Below are 14,588 nucleotides of genomic sequence, written 5' to 3' on the forward strand. Positions count from 1 at the left end.
TGTAATGCGGGTAGACTTTAATCAAGCTGTTGAAGGCCCGAATAAAACAAAAAAGCTAAGTAAAAGGAATTTCCTTCTGCTTGACTGCCTTCACTTTGGGACACTGTTTTTTCTTCTCTGCCTTTGAACTCTAACTGTAATCTTGGCTTTCATTGGGTCTTGAGGCTGCTGGCATTTGGACTGGAACTATACCATCAGTTTTCCTGGGTCTCCCCAGCTTCTTGATTGCATATCAGATCTTGGGTCTTGACAGCCCTCGTAATTGCATGAGCCACTTCTTTATAATCTCTCTGCCTCTCTCTATATCCCTATCTATCTGTCTGTCTGTCTGTCTGTCCGTCCGTCCGTCCGTCCGTCCGTCCGTCCGTCCATCCATCCATCCATCCATCCATCCATCCATCCATCCATCTATCTATCTATCTATCTATCTATCTATCTATCTATCTATCTATCTATGTATCTAAATCCTGCTGGGTCTGTTTCCCTGGAGAACCCCGTCTAAGACATCTGATAACTTCCGCCTATGCAAGCCGGGAAGTAAGCTCCATTTGGCCTGGGCTCTACCAGATGCTACCTGTAGTCTGTTTCCCTTGAAATCTGAGCAATATCTACTCAGATTGCTTGAGGCTATGCATAGTCCTTGTTTTGAGCAACATTGTTCCTTAAACAGTCATCTTTATGGACTAGTGCTTGCTTGATCTATACTTCATATTCCCATATTAGGATGTGCTATCTTATCCATACTATCGACCCTCTTGACCATCTACTCCTGCTGTGTCTGTCCTGGTCTCTATCATTTACCTATGTATCATATTTTGAGCTCACCATCAATTTACAATGACAAAGCAAGTATAGTTTGTGACTGGATAGATGAAGCCTCCTGAAACTCCCCTCTTTCACTATCCTATTCTGCCTAAAATTGAAATAAATGTGTGTAGCAATGATAAACTTTTTAAAGTGAGATTTATAAGACTTACTATAGTTTGATTAGTTCACAAGTGGTAAACATGGAAATATTAGAAGCCAAATAGTCTTTTATGTTATTTAAAATCCTGAGATTTATTTTAAGTTTAAATCTCCAAATTATGCTCTATGAGGGGTATTGGGTTCAAAATATTTAGAAACAGATGCATAATCCATGTCTTTATTGACAAATAGACAAACATTCAAGTAATAAGCACCAGTAACAATCACACCTGGGCAAGAGGTCCAGGGGAGGCAATGGTCAGTGTTCTGAAAATTATTGACTTACCCTAAAGAGATGACTAGGGCAGATATGTGTCAGGAATGTAGCCCCAGAATGAAAAGGGTATGATGAAGTGACTCTTACCTCTGTCGAGATTAAATTCTCAGTAAGGGAAGGAATGAAGAGAGAGGTTTCCACTTGCTTTCATTAACATTTACATCTCAATTTTTAAAAATTATTTTAGAATATCCTTGATGTTTTTAAAAAATATATACAAAAGGTGTTGATTTTGAAATATGCACAAAAATTGAAATATCTCAGATATAGCTTTGGTTGGAATACCTTTGAGGTACATTGAGGATTAATTCAACTAGTTTGTTATTCAGAAGTACAAGCAAGTTCTGAGAAATGAAGTTTCTTGCCAAAGATCACAGAGCATCCATGCGCCTGTTCCAAGTGTGGTGCCATTAAACCCAACAGACCTTTTGTTTTGTTTTGTTTTGTTTTTAATAGCCATGCAGTTGTAGGGGAAGACAGTTTAATCTGACAAAGCATTTTTGCCCTCACTTTCTTATCTTCCAGTCAAATTTAGAAGTTTCTATTTTCATACAATGTGAGTTTTTATTTATTTTTTTAGGAATTGAAAATAGTGTATGTGAATTATCTAATGTAATTTATTTTAAACACACCTAGAGCTTTACCACAGCCAACTTAGCTATAGCTTTGTTGACAGTGTATCTTTTTCTTAAGTATAAGCCTTTCTTCCATGAAACAAAGTGGGCATAGCATAAGGCTCACTATTTCATATTTTCTGTATACACTGGGACATGATGAGGACATGCTTTCCTAAGACCTCAGAAATGGAATCATTACAGAAGAAGAAATTAGAAAGCTGAAATAATCACAATATTATATAATGTTGGGATTCCCACACTGCTATACCATTGTACATCTATTTATAACAGAAAATAAAATTACAACTATTAAAGATGAAAAGACACACACACAAAAGGGTCAAGTTCTCTATCTTTGATTCCCAAAAAAAAATTAGCAAATATTTAAAAAATAAGCTTCAGGTCATCCAAGCACACAAAGATAATACAAAACTATCTAGTTTCAATTCAGCTTTATATTGTGGTCACTTTTAGAAACTGAAGTAAGTGTGCCTACTGAGATCTCCAGCCAGAAGCAAACTTAACTTATGGGCCTAATAGGCTCCTCTGATAAAATTATGATTTTTAATTTTTGGCTGGAGATTCACATATTAATATGTCATTACTATAATTAAAAATAGAAGCCAAATGAGATATTATATAATATTTAATTATTATATTAAACACACGCTTCTTAAAAATATGTGGTTTTCTTGACTACCATAAGAGAAACAAATTATTTAGAGGTGCAGTCTAAATTCTTTGTAGTAGTGCTAGAATTTACCAGCTAGTTTTGTGAAGAAGTTGTGAAATAGCTCTAAGAGGGAAATTTATGGCACTAAATGCTTACATTAAGAAAAAAAAAGATATCAGATAAAAAGCTTAATTTTATATCTCAAGGAACTAGTCAAAGAAGAAAAAAATTAGTCCAAAGTCAGCAGAAAGAAGAAAAAAATAAGGAATGCAGCAGAAATAAATAAAATAGAGATTAGAAAAATAGAAAATATCAATGAAACTAAGAGTTGGATTTTTAAAAAGATAAATAAAATTAGCATGCATATAGCTAGACTAAGGGAAAAGGAGAGAAGGCTCAAATAAAATGAGAAAGAGGAGATAGACAACTAATACCACAGAAATGCAAAAAGGGATAAAAACAGACTACTATGAACAATGATAAACCTAACAGGTTAACCTAGAAGAAACAGATAAATTCCCAGAAAGATACAATTTACCAAGATTGAGTCATGAAGAAATAGGAAATCTGAACAGACCAATAACGAGTAAAGAGAATGAATTGTAATTAAAGGTCTCTTAGCAAGGAAAAGCTCGGGACTTAATGGTGTCACTGATGTATTTTATAAAAAAAAAAATTAGAGAATTAACATCAAATCCTTCTCAAACTCTTGCAAAAAATTTAAGAGGAGAGTACACTTCCAAACTCATTTTATGAGGTTAGCATTACCCTGATATCAAAGCCAGTTAAGGGCCCTATAGGAAAAGAAAATTACAGGGTAATATTTCTGACAAACATAGAGACAAAAGTTCTCAATGAAATCCTAACAAGCCAAATTCAATACCAAATCAAAACATTAATACACCACAATCATGTGGGATTTATTCCTAGGATGTAAAAATGGTTCAACATATGCAAATCCATAAGTGTGATAAACCATATTAATAAGATGAATAAATGACAAAAATCATATGATCATCTCAATAGAAGCAGAAAAAGCATGTAACAAAATTCAACATCCATTCATGATAAAAAGCTCAACAAATTAGGTATAAAATATTCATCACAACACAATTAGTGCCATATATTACAAACTCACAGCTAATATCATCTTTAGTGGTGCAAAGTTGAAAGCTTTTCTTCTAAGATTAGAAGCAAGAGAAGGATGTTCACCCTAACTGCTTCTATTCAATATAATATTAAAAGTTCTAGCCAGAGAAACTGGGCAAGAGAAAGAAAAAAAAGACATCCAAATTGGAAAAGAAAAAAGTTAAATTGTTTCTGTTTGCAGATAACATGCTCTTTTATATAGAAAACTCTAAATATTCCTTGAAAAAACTGTTAAACTAATAAATTCAGTAAAGTTGAAGTATATGAAATCAATGTACAAAAATAGTAGTGTTTCTGTACACTGACAAGTTATCTGAAAAAGAAATAAAAAAGATCCCATTTACAACAGCATCAAAAAAATACTTAGGAATAAATGTAACCAAGGAAGTTAAATACCTATATACCAAAAACTATAAAATATTGATGTAAGAAATTGAAGACACTAACAGACAATCATCCCAACTTCATGGATTGAGCGAATTAATAGTGTTAAAATATCCATATTACTCACAATGATCTACCAATTCAATGAACTTTCTATCAAAATATTAATGACTTTTTCACAGAAATATAAAAAACAATTCTAAAATTTCTATGGATTCACAAAAGACCCAGAATAGTCAAAGCAATCTTGAGAAACAAGAAGAAAGCTGGAGACATCATGTTATCTATCATCAAACTATACTACAAAGCTGTGGTAATAAAAACAGCAAGGTACTGACATAAAGAGTGACATAAAGACCACTGAAACAAAGCAAACGGTCCAGAAATAAATCTATGCACTTACAGTCAACTGATTTTTGCCAGAGGTTGCAAGAATACAGAATGAGGAAAGAACAGTCTCTTCAACAAACAGGTGTTGGGAAAACTGAATATCCCCATACAGAAGAACAAAATTAGACCTTTATCTCACACCATATTTAAAAATCAACTCAAAATGGACTAAAGGTTTAAATCAAATACCTGAAACTGGAAAACTACTAGAAGGAAGTATAGGGAAAAAACTTTTTGACATTGGACTGGGAATTGATTTTTTCTTTTCCTTTTTTTTTTTTTTTTTTTTTTGTGTGTAAAAACCCAAAAGCCCAGACAACAGAAGCAAAATAGACAAATGGGATTGCATTAAGTCAAAAAGCTTTTGCACAGCAACGGACATAAATAACAGAGTGAAAAAGACAACCTATGGAATGAGAGAAAATATTTAAAACCATATATCTACAAATGCTTAATATCCAAAATACGTATCAGGAACTCAAACAACTTAATAGTAAGAAAAGGAATGACCTCCCTTAAAAATGGGCAGAAGATTTGAAAATATATTTCTCAAAGGAAGACATACAAATGCCCAACAGGTATACGAAAAAATCCTAACATCATTCATCATCAGGGAAATACAAATTAAAACCATAATGAAATATCACCTCACACCTGTTAAAATGACTATTAATCAAAAAGATGAAAGATAACAAAGTTGGCGAGGATGTGGAGAAAGGGGAACATTTGAACACTGTTGCTAGAAATATAAATTACTTCATATTATGGAAAACACTATAGAGATTCCTTCAAAACTACCATATGATCCAACAATCCCTTTACTGGGTATATAGCCAAACGAAATGAAATTAGTGTGTTCAAGACATACCTGCATTCTCATGTTCATTGCAGCATTATTCACAGTAGCCTAAACATGGAATCAATCTATGTGTCAATTGACACATGAATTAATAAATAAAATGTGGCATATGTATGTATCTACACATAAAATAAAATATTATTCATCCTTAAAAAAGAAGGAAATCTTGTCATTTGTGACAACATAGATGAACCAGGAGGACATATGCTAAGTGAATAAGTCAGGACCAGAAAGACAAATACTTCATGATCTCACTTATATGTGAGATCTAAAAAAGTTGAACTCTTGGGAGGCCGAGGCAGGCAGATCACGAGGTCAGGAGATCGAGACCATCCTGGCTAATACGGTTAAACCCTGTCTCTTCTAAAAATACAAAAAATTAGCCGGGCGTGGTGGTGGCAGGCGCCTGTAGTCCCAGCTACTTGGGAGTCTGAGGCAGGAGAATGGCGTGAACCCGGGAGGCGGAGCTTGCAGCTAGCGGAGATCGCGCCACTGCACTCCAGCCTGGGCAACAGAGCGAGACTGCCTCTCAAAAAAAAAAAAATAAAATAAAAATAAAAAAAATAAAAATAAAAAGTTGAACTCATAGATCCAGAGAGTAGGATGCCAGTGGCTGGGGGAAAGTTCGTGGAAAGGAACAAAGTTCCAGTTAGATGGGATGAATAAGTTAATAGTTAATAGTAACATATTGTATACCTAAAAATTGCTAAGAGAATAAATATTTTAAATGTTCTTGTTACAAAAATAATAAGAATGAGAGATGATAGTATGTTAATTAGATTGATTTAATTATTTCACAATGTTTACATGTAACAAAGCATCATGTTGTACTGTAAAAATAAAAAAATTTTATTTGTCAATTATACCTTCATAAAGCTGAGAGAAAGACCTAACTTGAAAAAAATAACAATGGAAAACATTGCTACTTCTTTACTGCTAGAAATAAACTTTTCACTACCCACATTACAAAGTAAAAACCATGACTTTGTAATGAAATCTACTGAAAAATCAGTCCCAAAGTCAAATTTTATCAAGAAAAGTATTTTAATATAGATTTAAATGCATGACCAGTAAGATGTGCTGTAAATAAAGAAAATAAATATGATTTAGTTTAAAAGACAGGAAAATAAAACACATTTAAAAATGCTAATCTTATTGTAAGGTGCATACATAGAATACATACTGGGTTTAGAAGGATTGTGAGAAAAAGTTCACCTCCTCTGATACTTTTATCCAGTTCTTGGGGTCCTCCTGGATATTCTTTGTAGAAAATAGTGTGAGTGAACAACCCACAAGTCTGTCGAGGGAGGACCTGAGTAAAAAAGGGGAAAAACAGCACATGGACGTGATTTAATTAAGAACTTCACCTGTGTCTCATAACTTTAGAATCTGCAAATTGTAATTTCCTATTGGATTTTCTTGGTTGCTAAGGCCAAATCTTATTATAATCACAAGTTGATGTTGGTGCAATTCTGTAAATATTAAGGGAGTTTCCATATCAAAGGCATAAAAAATATAGGTTAAATAATTTTCAGTTGGTTTTATAAATCTAACCCACCACCTGTGTTATGTTAAATGATTAGGGAAAACACAAAGCCTTCTTAGGGTTAAGTTCACCCAAAGATGGAAATTCTCCAAGGTTCCGTCTTTCATGCCATTAGGCCATTACTCTCTTCACTTCTGAAATCGAGTCCTGCATTGTAAAGGTATGCAGGTTCTGGGATTTACCACAATTGGTTTTCATAACCCCTTCCACATTAGCTTTGTTTTCACTACAATCTGAATTTACATTTTATGATATACTAGTCAAATTATTTAGTGATTACTTCTGGTATATTTTGTGGTTACTTCTTTTGTAAGTCTGAATGTTTAATAAAGAAAGCAAATAAGTAATTTTATTCCAAAATCATATTTTGAATGACAAACTACTGGTAATTTAATGGACAAATGCATCTAATTGCCTACAGTTTTTTTTTTCAAAATTATTTGCTTAATTATCATAAGGGTTAATATTAAACTTAAGGTAAATAAATGAATATAATATTGGTTAAAAAGAATGCTTTCATTTCATAATATGTTGAATGGTCATTCAAGGCAAGGAATTAATGCCATACAAGATCCAATGATGTTTTAGATACAGAAGGTAAAGGAAAGGTAAAGGGAAACCTGGGTATTTTCACTATGATTTGAAATTATGTGAGTAATTCTATTTATACCTTCTGGATTTCTATGGCCATCAATGCCACTATTTGCATTATCAATAGCTTCTCTTAAATCTGAGGCTTCTTCAGGCCTTCTGGTACCAATTTGCAATAAAATAGAGCTTCATGACTAATAAATATTGTGTATCAGCTCTGGTTAGATATATGTGTGTGCATTTGCTTTACTCACAGATGGCGATTAGATAGAAAAATAAATCATAGATAGATAAATAGATGATAGATGGATTTTAACAGCAATATGAATAATGAATTAGGAAGGTGTAAATATTCAAATGAGTAAGAACAGTTTGTAAACCAATGCTCTGATCTTGGCAACTAATTATAAAAACATCATCTAAGTCACTAGAAGTAGGTATACTTGTTTTAAAATAGGCTATTTTATCTCAAAATGAGTAATATAATGTTTTCTTTCCCAATGAATGATTGCAAATTGCCTTCTGAAATCCAATTGGTTTTATTCTCATTTATTAGGATTCCTACATCCTATTATTTTTCAATTACTATATCTGAAAAGAAAAAACATATACCTCCCTTTTTGGAATATGCAAGGAAAAGACAAAAAGAGAGAGCAGTATTCTTAGATACTTTTGAGTGCCTGAAAGCCAAAATAAACTGAGTGAATAAATTTAACTCTCAGATGCTATTTGTAACATTCTGTCTGTTGACAGAATAACAACTTGAGAGGTGTTTTCTTAATCCATGCAGCCTTACTCTGCCTGTAAAACTCTCAGTAAAACCACCCAACCAAATAGATAATGAGAAATTTCCTAGGAAAAGTATGGAATCCACAGGCAAAATTTCAATACTGAAACTAAAGTGGATAATCTATACATAACTCATTCCTGTTAGTTTCAGCTTGTTTTAGATTTGCCAAAGCCACTCCACAGCTTAGGAGCAAGCCTATCACCAAAAGATGGGTTAATGCATAACCAGTCACCATTGAGATATGTTAGGTATTTCTGATAATCATGTAAAAGAGGTTCGAGGTTACATCCTTAGAGGAAATGGCCCTCTGTCTTCATTCCACATGTAAATATTAACATCCTTCAATATACATGGCTCTCTGTGCTCACCATGATGCTATTGTGAATGAAGCCCTTTCTGTACCGGGCAGGTTTCAGATGTGGATATTCTTCAGTGCTGGTGACTTGAATACCCCAGACCTTCTTCCAAGCTGCATACAGCTGAATGTGAACCGGGTAGACCCCTGAGTGATGTGGGGCCACAGCATAGCCCATGTTGATTGGTATTCCATGTTCCTAAAACAAAGCCAGAACAACATCATGATGGGACAAGGCCAATTAATTCAGTGAAAATCATTTCCACCAACATCTATTTAGAATACATTGAACTCTATGCTAAATATGAGAATTAAAAATCCAGCAAGGTAGAGGTTTTATCTTCGAGCAGCTCATAATCTTATAGAACTCTGATGGCATAACAGATATAGTCATTACTTTGGGCATGTGGTGTGTGGGTGAGATTAATTTAAAATTTTGAATATGTAAAGTTTTGGGGGAAGATAAGAAGTGAAATTAGCCCTTCCTTGGATAAATGTGGGGGGCGGGGAAAGGTGTCATTTGAGGAAGCGCTCAAATATGAAGGATGAAAGGGCATAGAATGCGTGTGTACGTGTGTGTGTGTGGCGGGGGGCGGGTATTGAAGAAAATCAGAAAGGTAACTATGAATAATGAAGTGATGAGCTTTTACATTTAAACTGAAAGATTTTGAATTAATTCGATTTCAACAAGGTAGATAAGGAAGCTCTCTGAGCCTGGAGGGCCAAGATCTGCTCTGAGTTTTAAGAAGAAGAACCTAGTGACAGCATGTTAAGATAAACTGTAAGGGGAAGAAAGTGAATAAAGGCTGTGCATTAGGAAACTATTTCTATGCTACCAATTAGGTGAACATAGGTAACTAAATTAAATTATTTATGGTCAGATTCAAAGGCAGGGGATTAATACCATACAAGATCCAGTGATGTTTTAGATACCCAGGGTAAAGGAAAGGTAAAGGTTAAGATTTTCTCCTTGGTTTTGAACCTTAACAACTCAATTTGTTTTTATAAATCTTACACTTCACTATGAGATTCTTGGGTAAACAGTCAACTCTAAAAGAAAACAAGTATAAATTTAAACAAGAATATAAAAAATTGTCAAAGAATGGGATTATATTGCTAGGTACATAAAATAGATCTGCAGTTTTCTAATTTCTGTTTCTTTATATCCCTCCCTTTAAATGCTTATCTGCTTTAAAAGACTCCTTGTAGGATTGAATCTCATCAATTGAGGTTATAAATGACAATGCACAGTCACACATGAAAGCTGATTGAATCAATAAACAGAACACAAAAGTGTTGACTTGACAATTGCCATTTATATTTTCCATTATATGGTACACAGCATAGGAAAAGAATTCAGTCTCGTCTAATAAGCAAGTAGTGAATGGATCACATATCTACAATGCCTTAGTCATACGCTACACTCAGTTCAGAAGATGAACCCTAAATTTTTCACAAGTCTCCATCATTCTGCCTTTCATGTAATGACCCTCATTGTATAGCCAAAGTCACCTCTCTTTCTCCAAGACTATGGGTGTTTCCTAACATCTGTTACAGTAAATGACTCTGTAGAAGACTGAATTATGAAATCAATGCTGTAAAATGAGCTAGAGTCTTTTGCTAGACACTGGGGAGAATTTCATTTCTTGATCTGTGCAGAAGAAAAATACTTCTTCCTAGCACTTGTGTTTCCAACACAAGGCAAAGCTGGAAAAGTCCAGTAATAAAAGTACTTGGAAACTACCAGAGAGGACAGGCAACAGTTGTTACCCTGATATCACTAGGGAACATGTACTGGGACAGCCTTAGTTCTCTCAGGTTTCTTCCATGCTCGCCAATGAGTGGTCACAAAGTGTTTTGAGGATAAGCAATCCTCCAGCATCCAAGACATTGCAAGCTTGTGGATGCATTGGGTGTGAGACAGATTTTTCTCATTACTTCATGAGAAAAATCTAGAGACAAGCGTGTCCAGACTCCTCTGTCTGGTAAATAGAATTTGTATGAATGTGCCTAGAGAGGTGCTCCTGATGTACAGGAAAAGGGAATCAACCTGTTATCCTCCTTTTTACTCTCTCAAGTGATTCATACTGAGGTTTTATAAGGCTTGTCCCACAATGTGAAAAGTGACAAAATCAACAGTGTACAAATCCTAATAGTCTTAACTAATCACTTTGTTAGTCCTCATTCTCTATAACTGTATAAATTTGACTCTAAATTTGGGGCCTAGAAGGTTAGATGAAGTATGTGAGTGTCCTAGATACAAAGCAATGAAAAATAAAATCAGCAAAAAGTATTGAAATATCAAACAACTATATCTCCTCAGGAAAAAAAAAGAGACATTTCACTTTTGACAGGTAGTAAAATGAATTGTAGAACTTTCAAAAAAAAAAGGTAAAAAGCAATTGATTCGGTGAGTAGGAAGGAAGGGCAGTAAAAAAAAGTTACTATATTTATTGATTTCTGGGGGCCCAGTGTTATACTGTTCATAAGGTCATCTTATCACACTGGCAACTGGAGCTCAATTAAAATAGTATATCACACTATATAATTATGAGTTTATGCTTTTTCAATCTAAATGACAACACAAAGTGGGAAGTAATTCCCTAGCAACTCTTTTGCTATTATCATGGCGCTTACAGACCGAGAAGCTTCTATTTTCTATTGTCCAGGGCTTAAAACCTACTTCGCAGAGACTTGGCCAACTAGAAAATCAACCAAGCATCATATTTCCAGAAGATCACAAAAATTACAAAATTTGAAAAGCCTTCCAATGTAAATATAGGAAGCACTTGAGACTCTATAAATATAGACACGTAAATGACAGAAAACAAATAAATTCAAATATGGCTTTAATTATTTATTAGAATAATGTCTCTTACAGGATCTATGGAGTCTATACTACAATAAGACATGATACCACAAATATTCAGAGGGGTTTGACTTGATCTAATGTTTCCAGTCCATTAAATCCCAGTTAGTTGCGAAATAAGATATTGCAGTAATTTACAGACTATATGAAAAAGATCACCATTTTTCAAAAATTAGAATAAAATAAAATGTATTTAGCACTAAAGCTCTAACAGCAACTGAAATAATGTCATTTAATTTTCCCTTGATAATTCCTACTGATCATATCTTCTTTTAATTGCTTAGTTGAAATGGGATGGTTCCCTTGGGTTTGCTAATTTACTCAGCCCACAGCTTTCAATCCCTAACAGGACGGGGAGCATGTAGGTGAGTGAGCAGGTGCAGGGGCCAGCATGAGTGCTTCTGGGCACCGGCAGGAGTAGTTGCACTGTGCTCTTTTAGCTTTGCCGTCCATGGATGGCTTGTTTAACAGCTCGGTGGAAGGTCAGGTGACAGCCTTTTGCACCCGCCCTCTTGGTACCCAAGTTCTTGTCCAGTGCTGAGGAAGAGTCAGGTCCTATGAAGGAATTGAAGGGTGGTGAATGTGGGGCGGGTTTATTGAGTTTGTCCATGGTCGAACACTTCTCCAAAGTCCTGCTGTCAAGCTGGCCCTCTGAAGTCAAGCTGCTACCCTCTGGCATCCAGCTGCTTTTTCTCTTCTCTCCTCTGCTGCTCTGCTCTGCTGCTCAGTTGCTCTCCTGCTCTGCTGCCCCTCTGCCAGTGGTGGAGCCTGGGGTTTTTATGGGTACAGGATGGGGTGTGGGGCAGGCCAAAAAGCAACATTCAAGTGGGAAAACAAGAATGCATGTTCTCACTTTGGGCCGCAGTCCCAGGCTTGAGGGTGTGGCCCCTGTTGGGAACCTCCCTCTTCTACCTAGTATTTTCCTGCCTCATGTCTGCATCAATATTTATGAAGTATTTTTACATTTACGTGTAATATGATTCTCATAATCATTCTGTGAGGAGGACTGGATGCTGCTCTAAAATGTGGAAACAGAGGCTCAGAGAAGGCATGTAACTTGCTTATATTCATTCACAAGTGTCTGAGCTATACTTCTACCCAAGTTGTCTAGATTCATCATCTTTGCTCTTACTTTTTCACTAAGTTGCTTCTACTGTGACCCCTCCCCTCCCCTCCCCAAAGTATGAAGACACTTGACTTACAAAAGGGGTTTGATTTTAATATGCATGTTTCTGAACTGGATCTCCTGTTCACTTTTTTTTTGTTCTTGGAGAGGTTATAAAACAAAGTCTACATTTCTCAAACTCCTCTGCAGCTATCATTTTTTTTATGAAAATGAGTTTCAGCCTTTTAGGAGTACTCAAGACCAATTTCAGAAGGCAGTAGGAAGGCAAATCCTAAATTTTGGCAGCTCCTGGCTCCTGTTGCTGGCTGTAAGTTCTTGCAAATAAGCAAGTTTTTTTCTAGCAGTGTTTGGTGCCCATTTGCAGGGCAGCAGCAGAGGCTTTTTGTTTTTAACGGAGATCCTGTGGCAGCCTCAGAAATGGCAGCTCCCCCAGGGAGCCAGTTCTATATGGTTCTGAGAGTCCCTGCAGGAGTACAGCGTACAATCTGCTCCATGAGTCCTTCCAAAGATTTTGGAAGCACTGAAATCATTAAATAAAGTCTTCTTGTTTAAAATAACTTAAAGTGGCTTATGTTTCTAGCTTGGAAACCTGACTGCTAGAGCTGATTTTTGCCCATTTCTAATAAGTATAAAAAGATTTAAGAACTTCTGTTGAGACGTCTAGTGGTTTAAGTTCTAAGAAAACAGAGGAAAAATTTGGTAAAACACTGCTCAATACTTATCCAATAAAGCTGATTAACATAGTAAATATGTATTTTTCTAGCTGGATACTATCATGTAATGTATGTGACTGTTAAATGTCATGCACTGAGTAGCCAGTGAATACTGTATAGAAAATAAATAGGAGACTACAGTCATTTAAATGAAAAATACCAAATGCACATCAAAACAATTAAGTTAAACTACACTTGAAATAATTGTTTTTCAGTTCATGACTTACGTTAAGCACTTTGCTAAGTACTGGGGATGCCCTGGGTATAAGATAGGGCTTCTACCTTCATGAAGTTTGAAACCTGGAGACAATTGTGGAAATCAGATAGAAGTGTCTTAATTTTTGGTGAATTTTAACCTAAGATTATTTAATTTTTTAAAAAATATATTATTAATTTTAACTTTTAGGCATTTTCCTAGCAGAAAAGAATGATATCCTTGACACGAACATCTATAGAGGCTGAAATCTTCATCCTACTAACATTTCCTTAGTAGAGATTGAAATTAAAATAAGAAATTTATATCTAGGGGACTACAATTTTAATCTTCCTCAGGCTATTATTAGTAATTGGGTAAATGCAATTCAATATAATAAATTGTGTCTAGGAAGCTTTTGATAAGAATGGAATATGGATAATTACTGCTTGTGTTACAGTGATTTTTCTAGTGATGTGGCTGCACAAGCAATTTTTGACCCACTGACTTTATGTTGGTAAATGTTTCCCACACCCAAAATAATCAAATGGAACTTAGTATTGATGCTTCCAAGAATGATTTTTCTAATGGATTTTAAATAACAGTTAATAAGTGTAAACTTCAGAATCAAAAATATTCCAAACAAGGTCATAATCTCATAAAATACTGAAAGGAATAAAGTACTCCTGATCAATGGTTATTATGAAAAAAATTAGTATCTTGAATTCTTGAATCAATTTGTTTATATCAGTTTGTTTTATTTTTAGATGAGTAGAATTTATATATACTGATATATAATATTTACATATATTATATAATATAATTTAAATTATATTATATGATATATACATATATTAATTTATATATTATATAATATAATTTAAATTATATTATATATGTATATGATAAGGATAAGCTTAAAAAGATAACATTATTAGATCCCATGTATTTCCCATAAAATTCACATAAAAAGTTTGAATGTTTAATAATAAGCTTAAATCTTAAAAACAGGACAAATAGGTATTCATTCATATACCTAAATATACATTGACATATACAAATAATTTTTAAATAGTATATTTACACTATA

The 14,588-nt window shown here is 34.4% G+C and overlaps 1 protein-coding gene across 3 annotated transcripts in view; it reads right to left on the reverse strand.

Moving 5' to 3' along the window:
* The window catches only part of NDST4 (N-deacetylase and N-sulfotransferase 4), a 285,858-nt gene that overhangs the window by 100,945 nt on the left and 170,325 nt on the right, over positions 1-14,588 (reverse strand). For all 3 annotated transcript variants that reach the window (XM_017008545.3, NM_022569.3, XM_017008546.2), the window contains 2 exons: positions 8,611-8,796; positions 6,499-6,627 (listed from right to left, as the gene is read on the reverse strand). In XM_017008545.3, coding sequence (XP_016864034.1) covers positions 6,499-6,627; positions 8,611-8,796 — 315 coding nt within the window. The remainder of the gene's footprint in view (positions 1-6,498; positions 6,628-8,610; positions 8,797-14,588) is intronic.

This window comes from Homo sapiens, chromosome 4 (genome assembly GCF_000001405.40).
Source record: "Homo sapiens chromosome 4, GRCh38.p14 Primary Assembly".
NCBI lineage: Eukaryota > Metazoa > Chordata > Mammalia > Primates > Hominidae > Homo > Homo sapiens.